Source organism: Homo sapiens, chromosome 5 (assembly GCF_000001405.40).
Source record: "Homo sapiens chromosome 5, GRCh38.p14 Primary Assembly".
Classification (NCBI taxonomy): domain Eukaryota; kingdom Metazoa; phylum Chordata; class Mammalia; order Primates; family Hominidae; genus Homo; species Homo sapiens.
Window position 1 is genome coordinate 91384737 of NC_000005.10, and position 25373 is coordinate 91410109.

Here is a 25373-nt window from a genome sequence, read left to right on the forward strand (position 1 = left end):
GGATAGGTTGAGCCTATGAGTCACAATAAACTAAACTTATTGGTCTTGCTGTTTTATTTCAAAAGAAACTAAGCTTTTGGGGGTTGGATTTTAGTTGACAAGGCAATATCTTGGACTCAACAGCAATATATAAAGAGTATAAATATGCAAACTAGACAATTAATGAGCAGGCCATTTATTTCAGAGTTTAGATCGCTATGCATAAAATTATAAATTTGCATATTTAAGTGGGAAAAACAGTCTTATCTTTTCCCTACCTCTTGGTTGACACCTGGTGGAAATTCTAGGTAAAGTACCTGGGGCCTTGTACTAGCTTTGATTACAGATACTACTTGTGTTTTTTCTCCACCTAGTGGTAGAAGTGGTGAATTTCCTAGAATGACAGCTTTTCCTCAGCATAAGGTCAATGATATTTAATAAGCATTCGAAAACCACTGAGCAAGGAATGGATTTAAAAGTGTAGTCCATAATGAATACATAAATTCATTGCACATTTGTGTCTACATTTATGTTAAAAATTATTAAGGGTTAGTGAACAGCTGAATTCGGATTTTTTTAGTAAAATTTATTTAATTAGAATATAACTCATTTCAGAAAAAATAAGAATTAGCTATATAAATACACCAGAATTGCATTTAATAAAAAAGAAGTCTAAGAAATTTATTTGTAGTTTGGAAAATTGTTTTAAAATATTAAATGTTTCATTCCTGTCACTGTGTAGTACATTATTCTTTGTGTTTGAAGCTTTCAGGATCTTTTGAATAGTTGTCTTTATTATTTATTTTGCTATTTTTAAAATTTTCTTTTTACTGTGTCTTCTTAAATACTTAGGTAACTGGCAAATTTCCAAGAAATTCTTACCAGCTGCCATTTTCATTATATTTTTATTTTTTGAGATGGAGTCTCACTCTGTTGCCCAGGCTGGAGTGCAGTGGCACAATCTAGGCTCTCTGCGGCCTCTGCCTCCCGGGTTCAGGCGATTCTCCTGCCTTAGCCTCCGGAGCAGCTGGGATTACAGGCACGCACCACCACCTCTGGCTACTTTTTGTATTTTTAGTAGAGACAGGGTTTCACCATGTTGGCCAGGCTGGTCTTGAACTCCTAGCCTCAAGAGATCCACCCGCCTTGGCCTCCCAAAGTGCTGGGACTATAGACATGAGCCGCTTGCGCCTGGTCTCGCTTTATCTTTTCAATTCTTAAAAACAAAAACAAAAACAAAAACGCTTGGACCAAATTTTGAATGTTTTCTCTTGTCGCTTTCATAACTTCCCCCTTTCAGATTTTTTGTCTAAATAGCTACTCCTTAGACAGCTTGAAATGCTGTACTGTAGACATTATCTTGGGCTTCTCAGCTTGCTTCACTGGGCCATTATTGTATTTTGTATTATATTTAAACTATTCGTCTTTACCATCAAGGCTCTTTCCTACTTCTCCCCAGCCTACGTCTCATATGCCATCTCCTCCTACTCATCTGCTAACTCTCTATAATCCTGTCAAGTACATCTTCTGTCCCCTTTGTTAGCTTGTCTCACTGTTGCCAGTATGCAGTTACATGTGCTTTTGGTGCCCAGAATAACATCCCACTACTATGTTATCTCCTTTGCTTTTTTCTAATCCCTCCACTAGATGCAGTTGGCACTACTGAGTAAAATTCCAACTAGACTGAATAACTAGCTTCCCTTCCCCTTTCATTGCTTCTTCAGAGCTTAAGTAGGAATCTCTTTTTATATTAGCTTTTGAGTCAAATGGCTCTTTCACCTTAATATATTAAAGTTTGAACTCAATCTCAAGAACTCTATCAAAGACTGATAAATGATCATTGCTGTCAAGTTGTATGATATTGAGGAGATATGTTAAGATTACTGCCAAGTTTGGAGTTTTTTGCATATTATATCAACATGCTCAATATTTTTATTTTTAAAAAAAAAGGAAGCCATCTCAACTGGAAGTTTTGGTGTTTGGTTGAAAAAAAAAAAAACCTACCAGTAGTCAGAATCTGTTTCATAAAGAAAAATATGAAATCTATGCTTAATCTATTTTAACTAGCAGCTGATAGGCTCGAGTGCTATGGGACTAAGGGGGATTTTTTTCCTTTGGTCTTAATTCTGTATTTCAAGATTTTGTAACTCTGACTTAACTCTTTAATATCGTCACAGTGCAGCAAATTTGGCATGCAGACTGGACAGAAGACTTGCTGTATTATTAGCAAAATGAGTAGTATTTGTTTTTTAGCTTTGAGAGCTATTACAAACATAACGCATATTATGTTTGTTATGTTCTTCATACTTAATAGACTTTTAAATATGTTATGGATTTTGTGATGAAACTCACTATCAAATTTGGATTCTGATATCCTTCATTAATAAATAGTATAATTTGTGTTATGTGAACACCATTTAATCTGTTATATTTTATTTCTTGATTAAAAGAAAATCACCCATAATTCTACTGTCCGTCCATTCAGAGACACCACTGTTAACATTTTGGTGTATTTCCATCCAGATGTACAACTAAAGAAGAGCATTGCCAGTGAAGCTATGGCAGTGCATATTATCATGTAGAAGATGAGTTGGTAAAGTTTATTCATCTAAGCTCAAATGGCATCTGGTCTACAGAAAGAATTAGGAATGCTAAATTTCTTTTCTGAACTACTTTATAAATTTTGACTTTTGACTATGCACAACTTTATATAATGAGGGTAAAATTTTATTTGCTGTAATAAAATATTTTCTGGCTGAGTGTGGTAGCTCATGCCTGTAATCCCAGAACTTGAGAGGCTAAGGTGGGAGGATTGCTTGAGTCCAGTGGTTTGAGACCAGTCTGGGCAACATAGCAAGACCCTGTCTCTACAAAAAATACAAAAATTAGCCAGGTGTGGTGGCATGTGCCTCTAGTCCCAGCTATTCAGGAAGCTGAGGTAGAAGGATCACTTGAGCCTGGAAGGTTGAGTCTGCAGTTAGCTGAGCTCGTGCCATTGCACTCCAGTCTAGGTGACAGAGTGCGACCCTGTCTCAAAAAAATTTTTTTTAAATTTTTTTTCAAACATTTGATTATTTTATTTTGAGACAGCTCTGTTGCGCAGCTGGAGTGCAGTGGCGCAATCTCAGCTCACTGCAACCTCTGCCTCCTGGATTCAAGCCGGGATTACAGGCCGTCATCACCATACTCTGCTGATTTTTGTATTTTTAGTAGAGGCAGGGTTTCACCACGTTGGCCAGGCTGGTCTTGAACTCCTGGCCTCAAGTGATCTGCCTGCCTTGGCCTCAAAAGATGCTGGGATTACAGGTGTGGGCCACCGTTCCTGGCCAACATTTTGATAATTTTATATAGGATATGTAGCTTATATAGCATAGCATATCTACTTTGAAATATTTTACTCTCCCAGGGATGAAAGGGCTGAAGAGGCCCATTAAAGTCATTAAGTCAACTCCCTGCCTTTAAGCAACCTGAGAACCCATTCTATTTTTGTTTTTATTTTCTTATTTATTTAAATTTTAACTTTCATTTTAGATTCAGAGGTACATGTGCAGGATTGTTACATGTGTATACTGCGTGATGCCGTGGTTTGGGGTATGATTGATCTCATAACCTGGGTAGTGAGCACAATACCCAATGGGTAGTTTTTCAACCCTTCCTACTCCTGCTCCAGTAGTCCCTAGTGTCTGTTGTTCCTATGTTTATGTCCATATGTATCTGGTGTTTAGCTCCCACTTGTAAGTGAGAATATGCAGTATTTGGCTTTATGTTTCTGTGTTAATACACTTAAGATAATGGATTCCAGCTGCACCCATGTTGCCGCAGAGGACATGATTTCCTTCTTTTTTATGGCTGCATAGTATTCCGTGGTATATATGTACCACATTTTCTTTATCCAGTCCACCATTGGTGGGCATCTAGGTTGATTCCGTATCTTTGCTATTGTGAGTACTGCTGTAAGGAATATACAAGTGCATGGGTCTTTCAGTAAAACAATTTCTTTTCCTTTGGGTATGTACCCAGTAATGGGATTGCCAGGTCGAATCGTAGTTCAATTTTTAGTTAATTGAGAAATCTCCAAACTGCTTTCCACAGTGGCCGAACTAATTTACATTCCTACCAACAGTATATAAGCATTCCCTTTTTTCCACAGCCTGCCAACATCTGTTATTTTCTTACCTTTTTTTTTTTTTTTTTCGAGACAGAGTCGGGTTCTGTCACCCAGGCTGGAGTGCAGTGGCGTGATCTTGGTTCACTCTGACCTCCACCTCCTGTGTTCAAGCAATTCTCCTGCCTCAGCCTCCCGAGTAGCTGGGACTACAGGCCACCACACCTGGCTAATTTTTGTATTTTTAGTACAGACAGGGTTTCACCATGTTGGTCAGGCTGGTATCAAACTCCGGACCTCAGGTGATCTGCCCACCTTGGCCTCCCAAAGTGCTGAGATTACAGGTGTGAGCCACCACACCCGACCTTTTTTGTCTTTTATAATAAAATATTTTCTTGATGGATATTGAGTTTTGTGGTAAAGTACAACAGAAAAGAACCAGTTCCCAGTTTTTAAATATCAAACTTATATATAGCTAGCTGGAATTTCATATTCAATACCTTACCTGGAGATAATTGCCCTTCTAGGTATCCACATTTCTGTGTTGATGAAGGGGATCACTATTATAAATGATTTTTTAAACCCTAAAACTTGTCATTTACTGCCACTAACTTCTCAGTACTGTTTAATGGAATATTTTTCCAACAGTTCACCACCTAAAGTTAGTTTTATGTACTATTAATTATTATCTTTATGTTATCATAATTTAGAAATTGTAAGGGAGAATTTTTGCTTTTCACCTATCCTTAATCAGCCCAGTTTTTATGTTACTGTCTTTTCTAGTGTTGGGGACTTTTACTTGAAGAAGTAGCTATTGCAGCACTATTCACAATAACAAAGACATGGAATCAACCCAAATGCCCATCAATGATAGACTGGATAAAGAAAATGTGGTACAAATATACCATGGAATACTATGCAGCCATAAAAAAAGAATGAGATCATGTCCTTTATGGGGACATGGATGATGCTGGAGGCCATTATCCTTAGCAAACTAACACAGAAACAGAAAACAAAATACTGCATATTCTCACTTGTAAGTGGGAGCCAAATTATGAGAACACATGGACACATAGAGGAGAACAACACACACTGGACCTTTCAAAGGGTGGAAGAAGGGAGAGGATCAAGAAGAACAACTAATGGATACTAGGCTTAATACTTAGTTGATGAAATAGTCTGTACAACAAACCCCCATGACATAAGTTTACCTATGTAACAAACCTGTACTTGTACCCCTAAACTTAAAATAAAAGTTTAAAAAAAGGCTGGGCGAGGTGGCTCATGACTGTAATCCCAGCACTTTGGGAAGCTGAGGTGGGCAGATCACTTGAGGTCAGGAGTTTGAGACCAGCCTGGGCAATATGGTGAAACCCCGTCTCTACTTAAAATACAAAATTAGCTGGACATGGTGGCAGGTGCCTGTAATCCCAGTTACTCGGGAGGCTAAGGCAAGGAGAACTGCTTGAACCTGGTGGGTGGAGGAGGTTGCAGTGAGCTGAGATCGTGCTACCACATGCCACCGTGGGCGACAGAGTGAAACTCCATATCAAAAAAAAAAAAAAAAAAAAAAAAGAAGTAGGTGTGATAAAGGAACTGTTTGCCAAGGGAAAGCTGTAAGGAGGAGGGGCAATTTTAGTTTGTTTGCTGAGAACTTGCTACCCTCAGAATTCTAAGTATTTTGTTTCAGGGTCAGGAAACAGGTTAGGTGACAGCTAAACCTTAAAATCACACATTTAATCTATGACCTAGCAAATTCCCTTGATGATCAGCAATTTTTTTTTTTTTTTTTTTTTTTGAGACAGTCTCGCTGTGTCACTCAGGCTGGAGTGCAGTGGTGCAATCTTGGCTCACTGCAACCTCCACCTCCCAGGTCCAAGCGATTCTCCTGCCTCAGCCTCCCGAGTAGCTGAGATTACAGGCACCCCCCGTCCACCATGCCTGACTAATTTTTGTATTTTAGTAGGGACAGGGTTTTGGCATGTTGGCCAAGCTGGTCTCGAACTCCTGACCTCAGGTGATTCACCTGCCTCGGCCTCTCAAAGAGCTGGGATTACAGGCTTGAGCCACCACACCTGGCCCAGCAATTGGTTTTACATTTATTGTTTTTGTAACACAAATGTCTTTTTCATTCAAGTATAAAGTACGTTTTTAAACCAATACATTTTAGTGAAAACATGAGGCAACTGAAATTTCTTGCTCAAAATTGACATAATATTTTGTAGTTATGTATAAATTTCAAGTTATTTTGCTGAAGAGAATGCAATAGAAAGGAATTTAATGCTTTATTAATTTGGACTTTGAAACATATATGAAGGAATTTACAAGCAGAGGGATATGCATGCTATTGTAAAGATGCATATAACAAAGTATCCAAAGTGAGGAACAGAATTAAATCATGAATAATTTACAGATGAAAATAATTTATTCAGTCCTGGTCTTTAGAAAGTGGGAGTAATGTTTAGTAAAGCCAAAATATTTTTGGAAGTTCCAAAGGAAGGGCTCATTAAAATAATAATAAACTAATACTTTTTTTGGTAAGGTACAGGTTAAAAACAGAATTCGAAAGCTAGAGTAGATATCATTTTATCTAATAGTTCTAATGTCCAAATCATCTTTTACAGTTAGAAATAAGGAATACTTTATTTGTACTGGTGGTCCATTTGATTACAAATAAGTCCTTTAGATTTATTTTTATATTTATTATTTTGCTATTATTTGGGTCTGTTTTGGTAAAACTTGGAAGAAGCCTTCAGAAAAGTCAATGGATAAGAATACTGGGCTGAGCCTTGCTTGTCTTTTGGGTCTTTCTGCCAGTGAATGAAGAAGAAGAGAAGAACCTTTAAGACTGAGTCCCTTCATGGTCAAGTGCCCAATGGGAGATTGTTGCAGGGCAAGATTGTAACATAGATTCTTTTTTTTGAGACAAAGTCTCATCTCATTCTGTCACTGTTGCCCAAGCTGGAGTGCAGTGGTGATCTCGGCTCACCACAACCTCTCCTACCCGGGGTCAAGAGATTCTCCTGCCTCAGCCTCCCGAATAGCTAGGATTATAGGTGCCTGCCACCACGCCCAGCTAATTTTTTGTATTTTTAGTAGAGATGGGTTTCACCATGTTGACCAAGCTGGCCTTGAACTCCTGACCTCAAGTGATCCGCCTGCCTAGGCCTCCCCAAAGTACTGGGATTACAGATGTGAGCCACCATGCCCGGCCGATTGTAACATAGATTCTTGATGCTTAAGAGGATAATATGGGAAAGAACAGAAGGTGATACTGTTAATTCTATTTATAGTAGTATAGTAGTAACCTTTCTCATTTTCACAAGCCCTAGTGATTTTGTGTTCTAAGCACTTTGCTTTTTTTTTCTTTTTTTGGTCTGTCTCTGCAGTGATTTTTTATTTTACTTTGTAAATGTTTTTGTTGTCATATGTTCATTTGCACATAATTTGAGTTACTTAAAATTTGCTGGTCACCCCAAATGAAATAAAACATTGGCCAGTAGCTAGGAGATAGTGGTGGTGAATAACTGCAAAGATGGTTTAGTGAACTGCATAAAAATCACCAAGACATCATTAAGGAAGTCCCATCAGGGGAGCAGTATGAGAGTGAAGGGCAGACAACGATATGTCTCCTGGTGGATGTGGGGACAGAGAGGGATGAGAAGACAGTCATATTAGATAGTCCAGAGACACCTCAGGTGGTTAGGCTCGCATTAAAGAGCGAACATGAGGCAGGCATGTCTGGTAATGACAGGAAGTCAAGAAAACTTTTCAGGGGATTGGGAAGCTTGGCTGATAACAGATGATGAGAGGAGTGGGAGGAGCGGCAAGTGGTGGTGGAGTGAAGCAGTTTTTTTCCTTTCTAGGTGTATAGGACATGGGTACATTAGCTAAGAAGTCCAAAATCCATGAGGTTATTTGTTGACTGGGGGGGTGTGTGCGTGCGAGAGAGAAAGAGATCACATCATATTGTTAACAGCCGCAATAATGGCATATTTTATGGCAGGCACTGTGCTTTTCACTCATTATCCTGTTTGGTCCTTTTAAGAGTTCAATGAGGTAAATCCATTTTATAGAGAAAACAGGCTTAAGGTGATTAAGTAACATCCCCAAGCTGAAATAGCTAGTAAATGGTAGTGGTAGGATTTGAACCTTTGTTTTTGATCATTAGGCTATAGTTCAAGCAAGTACTATAGAACTATTTATCGATAAGATATGGCCTCTTCTGAGAAGGCTTCTGTAACCATCCTCCCCTCCCTTAGTTTGGATATGTTTTTCTTTTGTGTTCACAACGCCTTTTAAAATCCTATTCCTTAACAATTTTATACATAGTTTGTACATATTATCTCTTCCATAATATTCCAAGCCTCTCAAGGGCACTTTCCTTGTCTTATCTAGTGCCCAAATGTCAAACATTTTCATATCTCCAACACGTAGCATAGTGCCTGTCACATATGCACTCAATAAATGTTTATTAATATGGGATAGATTGATAGTAGAATGTTATCTTTAAGAAATTTTTCATTGTATGATTGTAGATACTGATGAGTAGTTTTTCTGGATAACCACATGAAAACCATGACACTGATGAATTAAAAATAAGACTTAGGTTCACACCATCATTTTCATAAATGTATGCTGATTGCCACAGGGTCACTATTGTGAAGTAAGTATCTGATTTCAGTTAAAGTAAATAAGGATTACTAGCTTTTGCTAAAGTAAAATTTTATGGTTAAAAAGCAATATTAAAAATACATATATTGGGCCAGGTGCGGTGGCTCATGCCTGTAATCCCAGCATTTTGGGAGGCCGAGGTGGGCAGATCACCTGAGGTCGGGAGTTTGAGACCAGCCTGACCAACATGGAGAAACCCTGTCTCTACTAAAAATACAAAATTAGTTGGGCATGGTGGCACATGCCTGTAATCCCAGCTACTCAGGAGGCTGAGGCAGAAGAATCGCTTGAACCCAGGACTCAGAGGTTGTGGTGAGCCAAGATCGTGCCATTGCACTCCAGCCTGGGCAACAAGAACGAAACTCTGTCTCAAAAAACAAACAACAAACGAAAAACATATATTATCTTTTAGCATTTTTCTGCTTATATTACACTTGGTATATTATTTAAAACTGATGAACAAGGAATCTTTCAGCCTGCTTTTAATTGGACCTAAGGAAAAGTGCAATTGTGTACCACAGCAAAGAGCAAAATACCTGAGAGGAAGCTAACTGAAACTTGTAATATTATTTATCTGTATTTTTAACATAGTATATAGCTTATATAGCTGACATTTAAAGTGTTCTGAATAGATTTGCATCTAGATAATAGAAAGGTTTATTTCAAAGGCCTTGATTACTGAATATTTTGTTATATATGTTGAGATATATATATATACATGATGTCCCTCTTAAAAATTAAAATCTCTAAAAACATTTCTTTGTAGAGGCACTTCTTTATTCATAAATTTGGTAAATTCAGTAGTCAGGTATGCAAAACCCTGGTCGCTAAAATATATATGATTTCAAAACAATATTATATACATTTTTTAATTTTTAAAATTATTATTATTTTAATTTTTTAATTTTTTTTTCCAAGATGGAGTCTTGCTCTGTTGCCCAGGCTGGAGTGCAGTGGTGCTTTCTTGGCTCACTGCAACCTCTGCCTTCTGGGTTTAGGTGATTCTCCTGCCTCAGCCTCCCGAATAGCTGGGATTATAGGTGTGCACCACTGCGCCCAGCTAATTTTGTATTTTTAGCAGAGACAGGGTTTCGCTATGTTGGACAGGCTGATCTCGAACTCCTGACCTCGTCATCTGTCCTCCTTGGCCTCCCAAAGTGCTGGGATTACAGGCGTGAGCCACCACGCCTGGCCTAAAATTATTTATTAAAATAATGAAATAATTAGGTAAAATCATCATATCTTGGTGTGTAATTGAATATGGGTATAGAGGAAGGGTGTTAATTGAATGTTAGAGGGAAGAGTAATCAAGGATGACACTGGATTTCTGGCCTAGGCAACTTGCTAAATGGTGGAGTTCCTCGCTGAGATGTGGAACATGGGGAAGGAGGAGGAGGATGAATTTCAGTTTTATATTTGTTCATTTTTTATTTTTTAAATTTTGAAACAATACAAAATATACAGAAAATTTGCAGGTACAGTACAGAAGACTTTTTTTCCTGGACCATTTGAAAGTAAGTTGCCAGTATGATGCCTCACTGCCAGTAAAGACTATGCCTTCATAGCCATAGTGCAACCATGGAAATCAAGTCATTAACATTAGACATTACTACCATCTAATACTGAAGTCCCAATCAAGTTTTGTTGGTTGTCTCAATACTCTCCTTTAGGGCAAAAGGATCCAGTTTAGAATCACCTGTTACATATAGTTTTCAGGCCTTTTTAGTCTCCTTCTGTTGGGAGCAGCAATGTAACTTTTCCTGGTCTTTAATGATCTTGACCCTTTTGAAGACCAGATATTTTATAGATTGTACCTCTGTGTACAGTTCAACCTGTTTTTTTTTTCAACCATGGTTCTGGGTGAGAATTAAGGCTTAACACCCTAAGAAATCTGTATTAGTGAGTTCTCCAGAAAAAACGGAATTAATTAATTTATTTGTTAAAAAATAACAAATAAATGGCTCATGACGTTATGGAGGCTGAGAAGTCCCATGATCTGCTGTCTGCAAGCTGGAAATCCAGGAAGCTTGTGGTGTAATTTAGTATTAGGTTGGTGCAAAACTAATTAGTAAAACTAATTTACTTTTAATTAAAAGTAATAGCAAAAATCGCAATTAGTTTTGCACCAACCTAATACAAGTCTGAATTCAGAATAAGTCTTAAGACTTAGGAGTGGTGAGGGGAGGAATAGATCCACATACCAGCGCAAACAATCAGAAAGCAGATTGAAACATCCTCCATCTTTTTGTTCTCTTCAGGCCCTCAGGGGATTACATAATGCCCACCTACACTGGGGAGGCCCATCTGCTTTACTCAGTCCACCAATCCAAATGCTAATCTCTTCCAGAAACACCCTCACAGACACAACCAGATAACCTTTAGCTAGATATCTGGGCATCCTGGGGCCCAGTCAAGTTGACAGATACAATTAACTACCACAGCATGTATTGGATGAAATAATTAAGTTTTAAAAACACATTTAGAATGGCATTAATTATGTACCATTCTTGAGAGAGTTGAGCAAATAGTCACTATGTGTTAGGGTTCAGCTGAAAAAGGCTGAATGATTCGATTTTGATAGGAACACTTCAGAAGTGATGCTGTTTTCTCCTCATTGATTCCTGTCAGATAATGTACAATTTTGGTTTGTCCCATTACTAATGATCATTTGAATAAAGATGTGTCTGTCTGAATTCTCAACTACTTGGTTCCCCACCCTGACCCTAGGGAATTTGTAAGTATTTTGTATGGAAGTTTTTTGAAACTTTGCAAGTATCCTATTTCTTATCAAACTTTCTATTTGTTTGTTTATTTATATGACCATTGATTCATATGAGCCTTAATTTATTGTTATTTATCTTGATCTTCAAATTGTGCCCAATTTAGCTAGTAGAAATCCCTTCAAAGTGGCTTATGACATGTCTCCATCATATTTCGACTACCTTCTTTTTTTCTGGCATATGAAACAAGCTCATCTTGTACTTCTCCTGTACTTCTTGTACTTAACAAGCTCATCTTGCAATTCCGCTGCCTAGCCCTGGAATCAGCCATTTCTCCAAGTTAGCCCTGAGTCTTTGAAGGAGCACTAGGTATACACCTTGCTTTTAGAGTGTGGTGTACTTTGAGGTTGTCCCCAGTGGAGAGAGCTATCATATATATAGATGTACATATGAATGTATAGACACACAGTTGCAAATTGCATCTATATTTCTGTCTGTCTGTCTCTATCTGTAAAACCATGAGTGTACATTGATACCATAAATTCTAATCAAACACCTCAGGGTTTGTTCTAATTTTCTCCCTTTCCATATAGGTAACCTTCTTTTTGACACTGAGAAACCAGGCTCCCATTGGACTTGTCATATTGACTTATTTGATCAATCCCCCCTGCATGTGATCAATCTCCTGTTTCCACTGTCATCCTCCCTTGAATGTGGATGCCCTCTTTCCCTACCTAGGCTCTGCCACCCTGTTTCAGACTGCCCCTCTAGTGGATGTATCCTCACCCTAACCAGGCTGGACCTCTCCATGCTGGACTGGCCTTTGTGTGGTGCCTTCTGAACCCTGTATCAGGTGGGCTTTGCTTACACACTGCTCCCACTCCCCCTTTTCCTGTGCCCCACTGTTGTAGGAAAAATATTGGTTCTTGTCACATGACCAGGAAAGATTAGGCTCACAGATACACAGAAGGGTGAGGAATGGAATTCGTTGGGTTCTGCCAACAGGCTCTCCACCTCACTGATTGAATCCCAGGTTACCACCCAGGAACAGCAGAGGCCAGACTCCTTGTCCTAAGGCTCCACTCCATCCTCCCAATGCACAGGCCAGTCAGAGAGTCTCTGGGACCGGCAGTCCAGTTTTTCAGCCTCAGGCTGTTTTAGGCTTGAAAGTGGGGTTTTGCCGGGGGACCCTTGGCTGGCTCCTTGTCTCTATCACCATCCTTTACATGCTGGGCAGATACTACTTTAATTTAGTAGAGAATGAGAAAAGAATAATAAAGCAGTAGCTAAAAGGAGACTCCTTCAGGAGTTTTTGATGAAAAAGTATGGCATTCATCATATTTACCTGTAATCGCCTTGGAGCCAATCTAGAGAGTGAGGTTAAAGATACAGAAGAGACAGAAGTAATCGATAAAGCCACTTCTCTCAGAAGGAAGAAAGGGATAGGGTCTGGTGCACAATTCTGAGGATTAGTCTTAAGTGCAAGAGAAGACTGCATTCCCACTTAAATTCAGAGTGGGAGAGAAGAATGGCTTGAATACAACTTGGTTTGAGAGTCTTCTGGCCGGAAGAAGAGTGAATTTCCATCCCATGGCTTTTACTTTATTTGTGCAGACATTGCTGAAAAGGAGTGATCTAGTTGGAGATTAAGGAGATTGAAGAGAATTCTGAAAATCCTGTGGAGAATGAGAAGTGAAATGAGCAGGAAACCAGAAAGGCTTCTGATCACTATGGAAAACCTAACTGAGAATAGAAACTGAAAATGAATTCAGACACCAACCCTAATGACTGTCAGGTTTTCTCCAGCAGCCCCCAGGGCTGGTAGTGGAAAAGGCAGTTTTTTATTAGGCAAACAGTTAAGTAGAAATACCTAGGACAAGTAAGTTGAGGATATTGACTAGGGAGAGCTTGAATTGAAGGAAATGGATGTTGAAATATTGAAGAGTTCTGTAAAGTATTAGGAAAGTAAAGAGAGATGGAATCTGGAAGAAGGACAGTAGATGGGTCATGTCCTATCCCAAAGGTTTTTGTGTGGTTTAGTCTTAAACAATCAGAAACCAACTCTAACTTAAGGGTGAAGTGGAGGTTGGGAAGTGGAGTTTGTTATAAATATATCAGGTAGCTCACAGATTTAAAACTCAGTCTGAAGAAAAAATCATGCTTCAGCGATATAGAAACTATTGCAGCTTTGGTGTCCAGGGTTTTAGAAAGTAATGGACACCTTCAGTATCACTACTGGGAAAAATTAGTTCTACTATTTGTTCATTCTTGTTACTGCTTAGGGTTCAAATACTGAGAAGAAAGGTTAAGATTTAAATGATCTTGCTTAGATTTTGTGCCCACCCCCTTGGGCAGGAGATTGACTATTCTATCAAGACTATATGAAATTGGCTGGGTGCGGTGGCTCACGCCTGTAATCTCAGCACTTTGGGAGGCTAAGGCAGGTGGATCACTTGGGGTCAGGAGTTCGAGACCAGCCTGGCCAACATGGTGAAACCCGGTCTCTACTAAAAAAATACAAAAATTAGCTGGTCATAGTGGTGCACACCTGTAATCCCAGCCATTCAGAGGCTGAGGCATGAGAATCACTTGAACCTGGGAGGTGGAGGTTGCAGTGAGCTGAGCTCATGCCACTGCATTGCAGTCTGGGTGACAGGGTGAGACTCCATCTCAAAAAACAAAAACAAAAACAAACACAAACAAAAAACCCCAAAAAAGACTATATGAAATGGAGTTTGGGAAGTTCCTCAAAGGAAAACAGAGATGCCGTTTACAGAAGAAGGAGAATGGAAGCAACACTGGCAAAACCAACAGATGCTCAGCATTTGTAGATTTTGTGTGTGGGTACTGAGCTTATGCAAATAAAGCATGAGTTGGTATGAAGAGGGAGACATTGAATAAAATACTAATTCTTTTTAAAGTTTAATTTTTCTGAATTACAAAATAATACATGTACATTGTAAAAATAATTAAAACTATCCACCTTCTCTGATCTTTAATTAATATGGATTAATGACCAAAATATTGCTATATATGATAGCAAAGGGCAGAAGCAGGTAGGAAGTGATAGATTAATTTGAAATCACTGTCTGAACATTTTCTATGGTCTAGATTCCGTCGCGTACACGGTGGATATGAAATGAGAGTTTGTTCTCTTGCTCATAAGTACAAGTATGAAATGGTGCTTTGAAAACTAAGATCATATACACAGCCAAGCTTTATAGTACTAAAAATGTCTCCTTTTGAGAAATATATAGATAAGTTTGTGTCTTCAACTTATATAATGCAATCAAATATGAATATAGTTTTAAACTTATTTTGAAATATGCTTACATAAGCCCTATATTTCACTTTGGTTTTGTTGTTGTTGTTTTTTTCCATTGTCTACTATTATGAAGACTATGTATAACTTTTCCCCAAAAACACACCCCTTCCAGCCTGCTTTAGAAAGTCAACATTTTAGTATAACCAGTATTATTGAGTACATTCTACTTAGTATATAGTAATACAGTAATGTTTGTTTTTCCTCCAATCACAATTCTCAATAGTGCTTTGTAGAGAGTCTCTCAAGACAATTTCTTGGTCACATTCCACAACTTTCTCATCATTTTTAGTTATTAAAAACACAAAACAAAGCCAAACTAATTTCACTCCAGTGTAAAAATTCAATCTTAAGTCTGATTCAAATACAATCTCCTCAGCTCCCTTTATTAGTATCTGACTCCTTTGTCAGGGAGGAGGAATATTAGAGATGGTGGGGTTGCTTATTGGAGATGAGGCAGTGTCTTTCCCCTCAAGACTTTGTATGATTTTATTGCTGTTGGTGGTCTCATAACTTGTTGCAATTTTTAGGATTGTTTAGCTTCATCTTGATTCACTGTATCAATGAGGATGTCTGCAGAGAGAGGGGCCCATGTCTCCCTTTAGTTTTGCCTTTGGTGTGCATTCTAACTCCATTAAGAAGCAGCTGTTAGGTAACCCCAGGGCTTGTGCTTTTCTCCTCCCTTCGGTTTTTTTTTTTTTTTTTTTTTTTTTTTGAGACGGAGTCTCACCCTGTCGCCCAGGCTGGAGTGCAATGGCACAGTCTTGGCTCGCTGCAACCTCCACCTCCTGGGTTCAAAAGATTCTCCTGCCTCAGCCTCTGGAGTAGCTGGGATTACAGGCGCATGCCACCATGCCCAGCTAATTTTTTTTTTTTTTTTTGTATTTTTAGTAGAGATGGGGTTTCATCATGTTGGCCAGGCTGGTCTTGAACTCCTGACCTCTTGATCTGCCCAGCTTGGCCTCCCAAAATGCTGGGATTACAGGTGTGAGCCTCTGCACCCGGCCTTCTCTTCCCTTCTTTATATTCCTTCAAATTGAGTCAAACTTGAAAGTCCTCCTTCTGTACCCGTTGGTAAATGAATGTTGTTTTAGTCAGTTTGGGCTGCTATAACAGAAAACCATAGACTGAGTGGCTTAAACAACAAATGTTTATTTCTCACAGTTGTGAAGGCTGGAATTCTAAGATGAGGGTGTCTGCAGGTCCTGTGTCTGGTGGGAGTACTTTTCGTGGTTTGCAGATGGTCATCTTTTTGCTGTGTCTTTAGATGTTGGACAGCAGAGAGGGCAAGCTCATGTCTCTTCTAATGAGGGTACTAATCCCATTCATGAGGACTCCACTCTCATGACTTAATTACCTCCCCAAAGTTCTACCTCCTAGTACCATCATATTGGGGATTAGGATTTCAGCATATCAATTTTTGGGGGTGGGGGGACACAAACATTCAGTCCATAAAAATAAGGAAACCTAGAATGGGATGGACATTTTCTTCACCTTCTTTTAAAGCGCCCCACAATATGGTCTTTTTAAAAAATTCCACTTTTCCGGGGTTTGCTTGCCAGTCTTCCATCTTCAAAATCTTCAGGAAAGAATCAGGCGCAATTCTTGATGTTCAGATATGCTTCCAAATTCCAAAAGACACATGTCAGTTTCTCCCACAGACTCTCTCACTCAGCGTAGTGAACTTTGAAGTCAGACTTGGGGTGAGTCTCTAGGTTCCCAACTCTGTAAGTATTCAACTAGGTAGTAGCTGTCAGTCTTTCCTCTGTGCAAGCACTCCCACTCTGTATTCCTTTGAAACTCCCTCTTCACTTGGCTTCTAGTGGGTTGAGGGAAAATATTTTCCTGCTCACTCACTCAGGGCTGAAATGTTGATTGGGAGTAGCAGATGTGGTTCCTTTGCATCTGAATAAGCCTTTAGAGAGGTTTCCGGCCCAGTGGTTGGAGAGGCCTTTAACAGCCTAGAATCTTTATGAATTTTTGTCATCATTTTTTCAGTCATAATAACAATTCCAAGATAACAGAAAAAAATCCCTTTTAACAGTTTATTATTTTATTTTATTTTATTTTATTTTTTGAGATGGAGTTTTGCTGTGTTGCCCGTGCTGGAGTGCAGTGGTGCAATCTCTTCTCACTGCAACCTCTGCTTCCCAGGTTCAAGTGATTCTTGTGCCTCAGCCTCCCCAGTAGCTAGGATTACAGGCACGTGCCACCACACCAGACTAATTTTTGTATTTTTAGTAGAGCTGGGGTTTCACCATGTTGGCCAGGCTGGTCTTGAACTCCTGACCTCAAATGATCCACCCACCTTGGCCGCCTAAAGTGCTGGGATTACAGGCGTGAGCCACTGTGCCTGGTAGCATAAAACTAAACTAAATGATATCCATTCTTATGTGATACTGTGGTCTATAATGAAAAGCAAAAAACACAAACTCTAACCCACAGGATATAGTAAACCAGATCCTTTCAATGCTTAAGATTTTTAAGTTAGGAAACTTTAAAGTAGCATTAACTTTTCAAGGTCCCCAAAAGTACTATTAATGAATAATATTAGAGTTGTTTTGTTTTACATTCTGTCAGAACGTAGTAGGTAAAACATGGGTGTTAGAGTGAGGGAGAGAGGTTAAGCCTATCATGAAATCACTGGTCAAGAACATAACTCAGTAAAATGTTTAATGATCTTTATTAGAAGGCCTTTGTGTATAAGCAGGTTTGAGATTAATTTTAAAAAAACAGATTTCCTTTTAAAATTTTTGATAGGCATTTTTAAATTTAAGTTAATGCTAAAATGTATTTGTTAATCTTAAGCCTCATAGTTCCCTTAAAGAGGCTTGAGTAAAGAAGTATTTTAGGTTCTGGCTTAAATATGAAAATGATTTTAAGCATACCCAATGGCTAACAAATATAACAATTATCATTCCCAGTGCAGTGCTGTCTTCAAACTTTCTCAGCTGAATTTTTTCTGAGTGACATTTTTGCTATCCATATCCTTCTTAAGAACTCAATAATGGACTAGGTTAATTAGAGATAGGTAATCTTACCTAGTGTTAATCATCCTTCTGTCAGAATAAATTAACCTTTTTAGCTCCTATTTTGTAGAATTCCCAGCCTCCACAGACAATGTTCTCGAGGCATTAGATAGCCTTATAAAATTTTAAACTCATTTGAACTTGGAAATACCCATTACTAATAGAATCATTAAACTTAATAATCATAGAGATTTACTCAGATCATTGAAGATAAGCCTAATTTAGGCACCTTGCAGTCTTGCTGCTTCTTCATTGTGTGATTTGGAGAAATTCATTATCATCTGAGTCCTCATTTCTTGACTGATAGAATGGGGATAATTATATCCACCTCAAATTATGGAAATCAAATGGGACAAAGCTATAGTAGGTTCTGAAATGCATTGCTAAAATGTTTAGGATCATTATTATTAATATTGTTTTGAAATATCAAGTCAGAAGACTTTACTTTCTACTGTTAATGTCAACTGATCCCTAATATACTGAGATCCTTTCCCCTGGCTCTTTTGTATTATTTTAAAATTAAATTAAATTATTAAAAAATAGAGATGAAGTCTCACTATGTTGCCCATGCTGGTCTCGAACTCCTGGGCTGAAGTGATCCTACTTGGCTTCCCAAAGTGCCAGGATTGCAGGTGTGAGCCAATGTGCTTGGCCTCTTCTGTATTCTTGACAATGAGAAAAAAAAAGGTATAAGATTGTGTGAGATTGTATTCTGACCATCTCTGGTTCCCACAATTCTTTGGTACATGTGTGGCCCATGGAGCAGATTAGTTAGCCCATAGTGGAGGTTCATGACACCTCATGGCAAATAAAATGAAAAACTAGCATGCATTGAAATAAAATTATTAACTGTAAATATAAACTTATTTGCTTTTATAAGGTGAAATGATACAGTAGATTTCATCAGAGGTAATTTGGGAAATATTAAAACATTTGGCTTTAATTAGAAAGGCAGGAAAATATATCAAACTAGATTCCATTTGGGCAGGGTTTGTTTATCCTTCTCATCTTGAGTTTGAGCCAAAAATCCTTAGTTTTGACTAGTTCTTAAATGTTTCTCCAAATTTGGGCAGAGCCTTTGGCCTATTTAAAGACAGATGCAGCTTAGCTCAGCATTAGTTAAGAGGGATGGTGGTACATGCAGATCAGGACCCACCAAAATGAAAAGCAGGAGGGGGTCCTAGGGTGGATAAAACTGTGTGTGTGGATAGAGGGGCACCACTCATGAGTAAATGAGTGCTTCATTGAGGTGGAACAAATCTCATTCATCAGAGTTTCTCTTTGGCAAAGATTGTATGTACTGTATTTAGAAAAAACTTTAATAAACTGCTTGTGGGTAGTTCTCCCTTACCCCCCAACCTATCCCCAACCAATAAGGACAAATTGCCTTTCATTTAGGAGCCTGTGTTTTGTTCATTTCCCTAAAGATTGGTAAATAGGTTTGGAGGTAGAATTTGGGACAGGGCGATGTTGCTGGATATTTATGAGGAGAATGGAATGTGAGATTCTGGGGAATACTGAGAAAAGAAATGAGGGCCAGCTTGCTGGATCATTTATGTCGGGAGGAATGGGAAGTAGCTGCTTGGTTAAAGGAAAGAATTTGGGAAACAAAAATGTCTAATGAGAGATTTTCAAAATTAATATCGTGAATAGATGATAGAGACCCATGTTAACAGAAGTATAAAAACGTGGGCCAGAAAGTCTCCTTACCATCCTGGGGCCTCACTGCTCTCACTTGTCTATCCACCAAGTAACCACTGATATTGTTTTCTTATGTACTTTTCTAGAATTTCTTTATGCAAATATAAGCAAGCATGCATATTGCTTTTTATTTTTCTCTGCTTTTTTGACACTGAATTTAGCGCATTGTATATACTGTTCTGTACCTTAAATTTTTTTCACTATGCTATATATTTTGGACACCTTTCCTATGACTACATAGAGCTTTCTAATTCTTTTTCATCACCCCACTCTATTCCATTTTATCAATGTATCATAATTTAACCTATTTATGAACTTTTTTTCCTGATTATTTGCATTTACAACAATATTAAAATGGGTAATGTTATACAGATCTTATTTTTCATTAGTGCATGCATACCCACAGGGTAAATTCCCAGTAGTGGTATTGTTGATCAAGGACATATGCTATTGTAATATTGATAAATATTTCCCTCCTAAGGAGTTCTGCTGATTTATAGCCTCAAAATAAATAAAAGAGTGTTGGGCTGGGTGCTGGAACTCATGTCTATGATCCCAGCACTTTGGCAGGAGGATTGCTTCAGCCCAGGAGTTTGAGACCAGACTGGGCAACACAGCAAATTTTTAAATAATTTTAAAAAATTAGCTAGACATGGGGGTACAGACCTGGGATTCCAGTTCTTTGGAAGGCTGAGGTGGGAGGAGCCCTTAAACCCAGGAATTTGAGGCTTCAATGAGCTATGATCACTGGAGTGCCACTGCACTCCAGCCTGGTTGACAGAGGGCTACCAGATCTAAAAAAAAAAAAAAAAAAAGGGTCTATTTGCCCACAGCCTTGCCAATAGAGTGCATTGTCAAACTTTTACATTTCCACAAATCTGATAGCTGACAAATGATATCTTAATTTTCAGTTTTTTAAGTTTAATTTTAAAAAATGTTGAAGCTACCTCAAACGTATCCAAAAGTTGCAAGTATAAAGAATATTTTCCCCATGGAACTATTTAAGAGTAAGTTGCCAACATAATATCCTTGTACACCAGAATATATAACCCTAGGTTATATATGTTATAAACAAGTACATTCTCCTACATATTCAAACTACAGTCTTCCCTTGGTATCTGTGGGGATTGGTTCCAGGATCCCCCCTTCAGATGCTCAAGTCCCTTATATAAAATAGTGTCATGTTTGCATAAAACCTGTGGACATCCTCCTGTATACTTTAAATCAGAGGTGTCCAATCTTTTGGCTTCCCTGGGCTGCATTGGAAGAATTGTCTTGGGCCACACACAAAATACGCTAACACTAATGATAGCTGATGAGCTAAAAAATAATTGCAAAAAAAACTCATAATATTTTAAGAAAGTTTACAAATTTGTGTTGGGCTGCATTCAAGGCCATCCTGGGCTACATGTGGCCCATAGGCTGTGAGTTGGACAAGCTTGCTTTAAACCATCTCTAGATTACTTATGATATATAATACAATGTAAATGCTATGTAAATAGTTGTTATACTGTATTGTTTTTATATTATTTTCATTTTTTAATTCAAATATTTTTCAATCCACAGTTGGTTAATTCTACAGATGTGGAACTTGTAGATATGGAGGGTCAACTGTGAAACCATCAATATCAGGACATTAGCTTTGATATGTTACTGACATCAAATGGAGTTAGACTCCATTCACAGTTTGCCTGTTGTCCCTAATATGTCCTTTATAGCAAAAGTATCCAGTCCAGAATCATGTGTTGTGCTTAGCTTCTGCCCTACCTCTTCAGTCTCCTTTAATCTGAAACAGTTCCTTCTGCTTTCCTTCATTTTTATGACCTTGGTACATTTAAAGATGATAAACCAGACATTTGTAAAATGTCCCTTAATTTGGGTTTACCTGACATTTCCTTGAACTCAATTCAGATTGCACATCTTTGGCAAAAATATGACAGAAAAGATGCCTTGTTCTTCTTGCAACCTATCAGGTGGTTCATGATTTTGTTTTATCCCATTACTGATGATGTTCACTCTGATCATTTGACTAGGGTGGTGAGTGCCAGGATTCTCCACTCTAACTTAGCCTTTTTTTCCTTTGTAATTATTAAGTGTTTGTGGTAGGGTACTTTGAAGTTATGTAATACATACTTTGGCATTAAAAATTCAGTTGATAAATTGGTTCTTTTGGTTACATCACCATGTACTAATAGGTTTCTATAATAATCAATAGTCATAATCCATTCCTATCATTGTTTGTCTTGATGTTCGAACTGTCCCAGATTTGTTTGGTGGGAGCTCCTTCAAGCTGGCTCCTGCACAGCTTTTGACTTATCGCTATCATTCTGTCAGAACTTCCTTGCTTTCTTGTCTAAAGAGATATTCTAGGCTCATCTTATACTTGTCCTACTCTGGACATGGAATCAGCCATTTCTTCAAGGAACCTTTTAATGGAGAATGATATTTAGAAGCCCGAGTGTGGCTGGGTGCGGTGGCTTACACTTGTAATCCCAGCACTTTGGGAGGCTGAGGAGAGTGGATCACCTGAGGTCAGGAGTTTGAAACCAGCCTGACCAACATGGTGAAACCCTGTTTCTACAAAAATACAAAAATTAGCCGGGCATGATGGTGGGTGCCTGTAATCCCAGCTACTTGGGAGGCTGAGGTGGGAGGATCCCTTGAACCTGGGAGATGGAGGGTGCAGTGAGCCGAGATCGCACCACGGCACTCCAGCCTGGGCAACGGAATGAGAAAAAAAAAAGAAAAAGGAAAAGAAAAAAAAGAAGCCTGAATTCTATGTGTGTTGCTGGCTATTGGGGTGTGTCTTTTCCAAGGCCCTCTTAGTAAACAGACACATACTGACATTGGTTACTATCTCCATATATAAACAACTACTAGTTGATACCTATTCCTTCAACTACTATCCAACATCACCAGATCCATTCTAATTTTCTCCCTTTCCATATTTTTAACACTCTTCTCTCACAGTCGAAGTCCTGGCTCATGTTATTCTTAATGTACTTACATATTTCATCAACATCCCTGTAGGTAACAAGTCTCACACTGTTGCCTCCTCCTACATAAATACCTTTCTCACTTTGATACTTTATGTCAGGCACTTGGGTTTTGTGCTTGGCAACTCCCTCCTCCACACTCTAATCTGTAGCAGAAGTTCTCTTCACTCCTCATAACCTCTAATACCTCAGGCTTCTTGGTGCACTTTTAATTTGCATTCTTTTTGTTATCTATGAGGTTGAGCAATTTTTAATGAAGAGTGCCAGTATAAATCCTTTCTCCATTTCCTACACAAAATCTTTAGTAAAATCAACATTGCCCAAAAATATTTTTGTGTGAGTGAATTATTTAATAGTTCTTGAATGAAAGCTGAGTTTTATGTTTAGCTGCACAGAGTGAATATATTATTTAAGCTATTTATTCATTTAACAAATATTTATTGAATTCATTGTATGTTCCAGCCACTTCCTAGGCACTGAGGATCAAGTGGTAAAAAACAGACACAAATTGCCTTCCCTCATGAAATTTATATTTTTAATGGTACAGTTGAATAATGAACAGGCTAACCTGTAAGCTTAGAATGTAATTTCAGGTAGTGGAGAAGCTACAAAGAGACTAAAGCACAGAGACAGTGTGAGCAGTTGCAGGTGCTGGAGTAGCAGAGAAGTGTCAGTAGACACCTGGGTGACAGAATGGAAATAAATGTTTGTGCATGCATCCCAAGTATCAGCATTTGGGGAATCATGGCTACCTGGAAGGAACAAGCCAATGTGGGGGTCTGAAATCCTGAGTTAGAGATCCAAACTGGATAGGAGGCCAATCACTCAATCTGGCTTTGTAGACTTTTTGGTAATTAACTCTAGAGGTCGCTTCTCAGACCCAGGCCTGTGCAGCACTGTCTTCTCAGCTTCGATTCTAACAAAAACAGCAGAAATAAAACTTCATGAGTAACCAATAAAACTCTGTCTTTTAAAAAAGATACCTACTTTTAATCTTTATACATCATCATTTTAAGTTAGAGAATATTAGTTCCATCTCACAGATAAAGGAATGGAGGCTCTAGAATAATAATAACTTACCTAGCATCATATAACTAATAAGACAGTGAGCAGTGATTGACTGATTCCAAAGCCCAGCTCTTTCTACTGTTGCCCATGGTCAATCTTCAACTTTTTATTTTGGCAAAGTGCCTTCCAGAGGAAGTTCCACTATAAGGCAGAGTAGGGCCTCATGAGCCAGCATTCCCTAGACCATGGGCCTCTTGTTAAAACTTAAATAAGTATACCCCTGTAAAGACTGAGCAGTGATTGATTCCAAAGCCCAGCTCTTTCTCTGTTGCCCATGGTCAATCTTCAACTTTTTATTTTGGCAAAGTGCATTCTAGAGGAAGCACCTCTGTAAGGCCAACTAGGGCCTCATGAACCAGCATTCCCTAGACCATAGGCCTCTTGTTAAACTTAAATAAATATACTCCTGTAATATAGACTTGTTTCCATTTCAATCACAAAAAATATAAACTAATTTTTATTTACCTTTTTAGGCTGACACATTATCTTCTAGTGACCAGAATCCAGGGTATATTAGATGGTTAGTCATATACTTAGAGTAAACAAAAGTTATTACATCCTTGCAAGATATAAAATTGCACAATATTATTTCACAGCAAGTGCAGCTACCACCTGATATTCTTGTAACTGTGCATATCTGAGATATCACAGATGAATTCATTCAATGAACTCAGCAAAGCCCTGATTACAGACAGACTAGTCACTTAAATAGATGTATTTGGATTAAATATGAGAACTCAGTGACTAAACTGTAGTAATGGTTATTTTGTCTTAATTTTTAGTTCTTCAGAGATCCCTGTTCTGAATAGTAGTTGTTATTAATACACTTAAAAGCATTCTATAATTGAAAAGACAAATTGTCCATGTTTAGAGACTAAATAAAATAAAGTAATAATATTACACCCATCAAAAATAAAGTTTGAAAAATAGGAGAGGTAACAAAAGCAAAATATTTGAATCATTTTATGTATAATGAAAAGGAAATGCCAATATGTAAGAATGCAATTTGCTTCATTTGTGATTTGGCCTAAAGCTTGTATAGCATAATCTTAGACTATGTAGATATAGAGGGTCACTTGGGAGTGGTTTCCTAGAACACTATATTGAGAATATAGTGAAACCTAATCAGATCTCAGCAGTATAGAGTGCAGGGATTGATTAGCGATGTCTGCCTTGGGAGCAGGGCAGGAAAGAGTGATGACTTTCATCTTACTGTAACCCTGGAGTCACCACCAAGGCTCCATTTGACACTGAAACCAGCTCAGCTGTTCTTCACTCAAGGAAGCTGCAAAACACAATGAAAATAAGCCCCTGAGAGATAATGGCTATTCAAATTTACTTTGACTTACAGTTAGTCTAACATCCACTAGCCTATGAGAAGAGCTTCTAGGTACAGTAAGTCCTCGATGTGGATAACTTCCTGGAAACTTCGACTTTAAGCAAAACAACATATAAGAAAACAAATTTAGGCTAGGCGCCGTGGCCTTACGCCCATAATCCCAACACTTTGGGAGGCCGAGGTGGGCAGATCACTAGAGGTCAGGAGTTTGAGACCAACCTAGCCAACATGGTGAAACCCTGTCTGTACTAAAAATAAAAAATTAGCCTGGCATGGAGGTGCGCACCTGTAATCCCAGCTACTTGGGAGGCTGAGGCAGGAGAATTGCTTGAACCTGGGAGGTGGAGGTTGCAGTGAGTTGAGATTGTGCCAGTGCGCTCCAGGCTGGGTGACAGAGTGAGACTGTCTCAAAAAACTGACCAAAAAACCCCAATTTTACC

At 38.4% G+C, this 25373-nt stretch overlaps 1 long non-coding RNA gene across 1 annotated transcript in view; it reads left to right on the forward strand.

Moving 5' to 3' along the window:
* The window catches only part of ARRDC3-AS1 (ARRDC3 antisense RNA 1), a 40369-nt gene that overhangs the window by 4390 nt on the left and 10606 nt on the right, over positions 1-25373 (forward strand). The window lies entirely within an intron of this gene.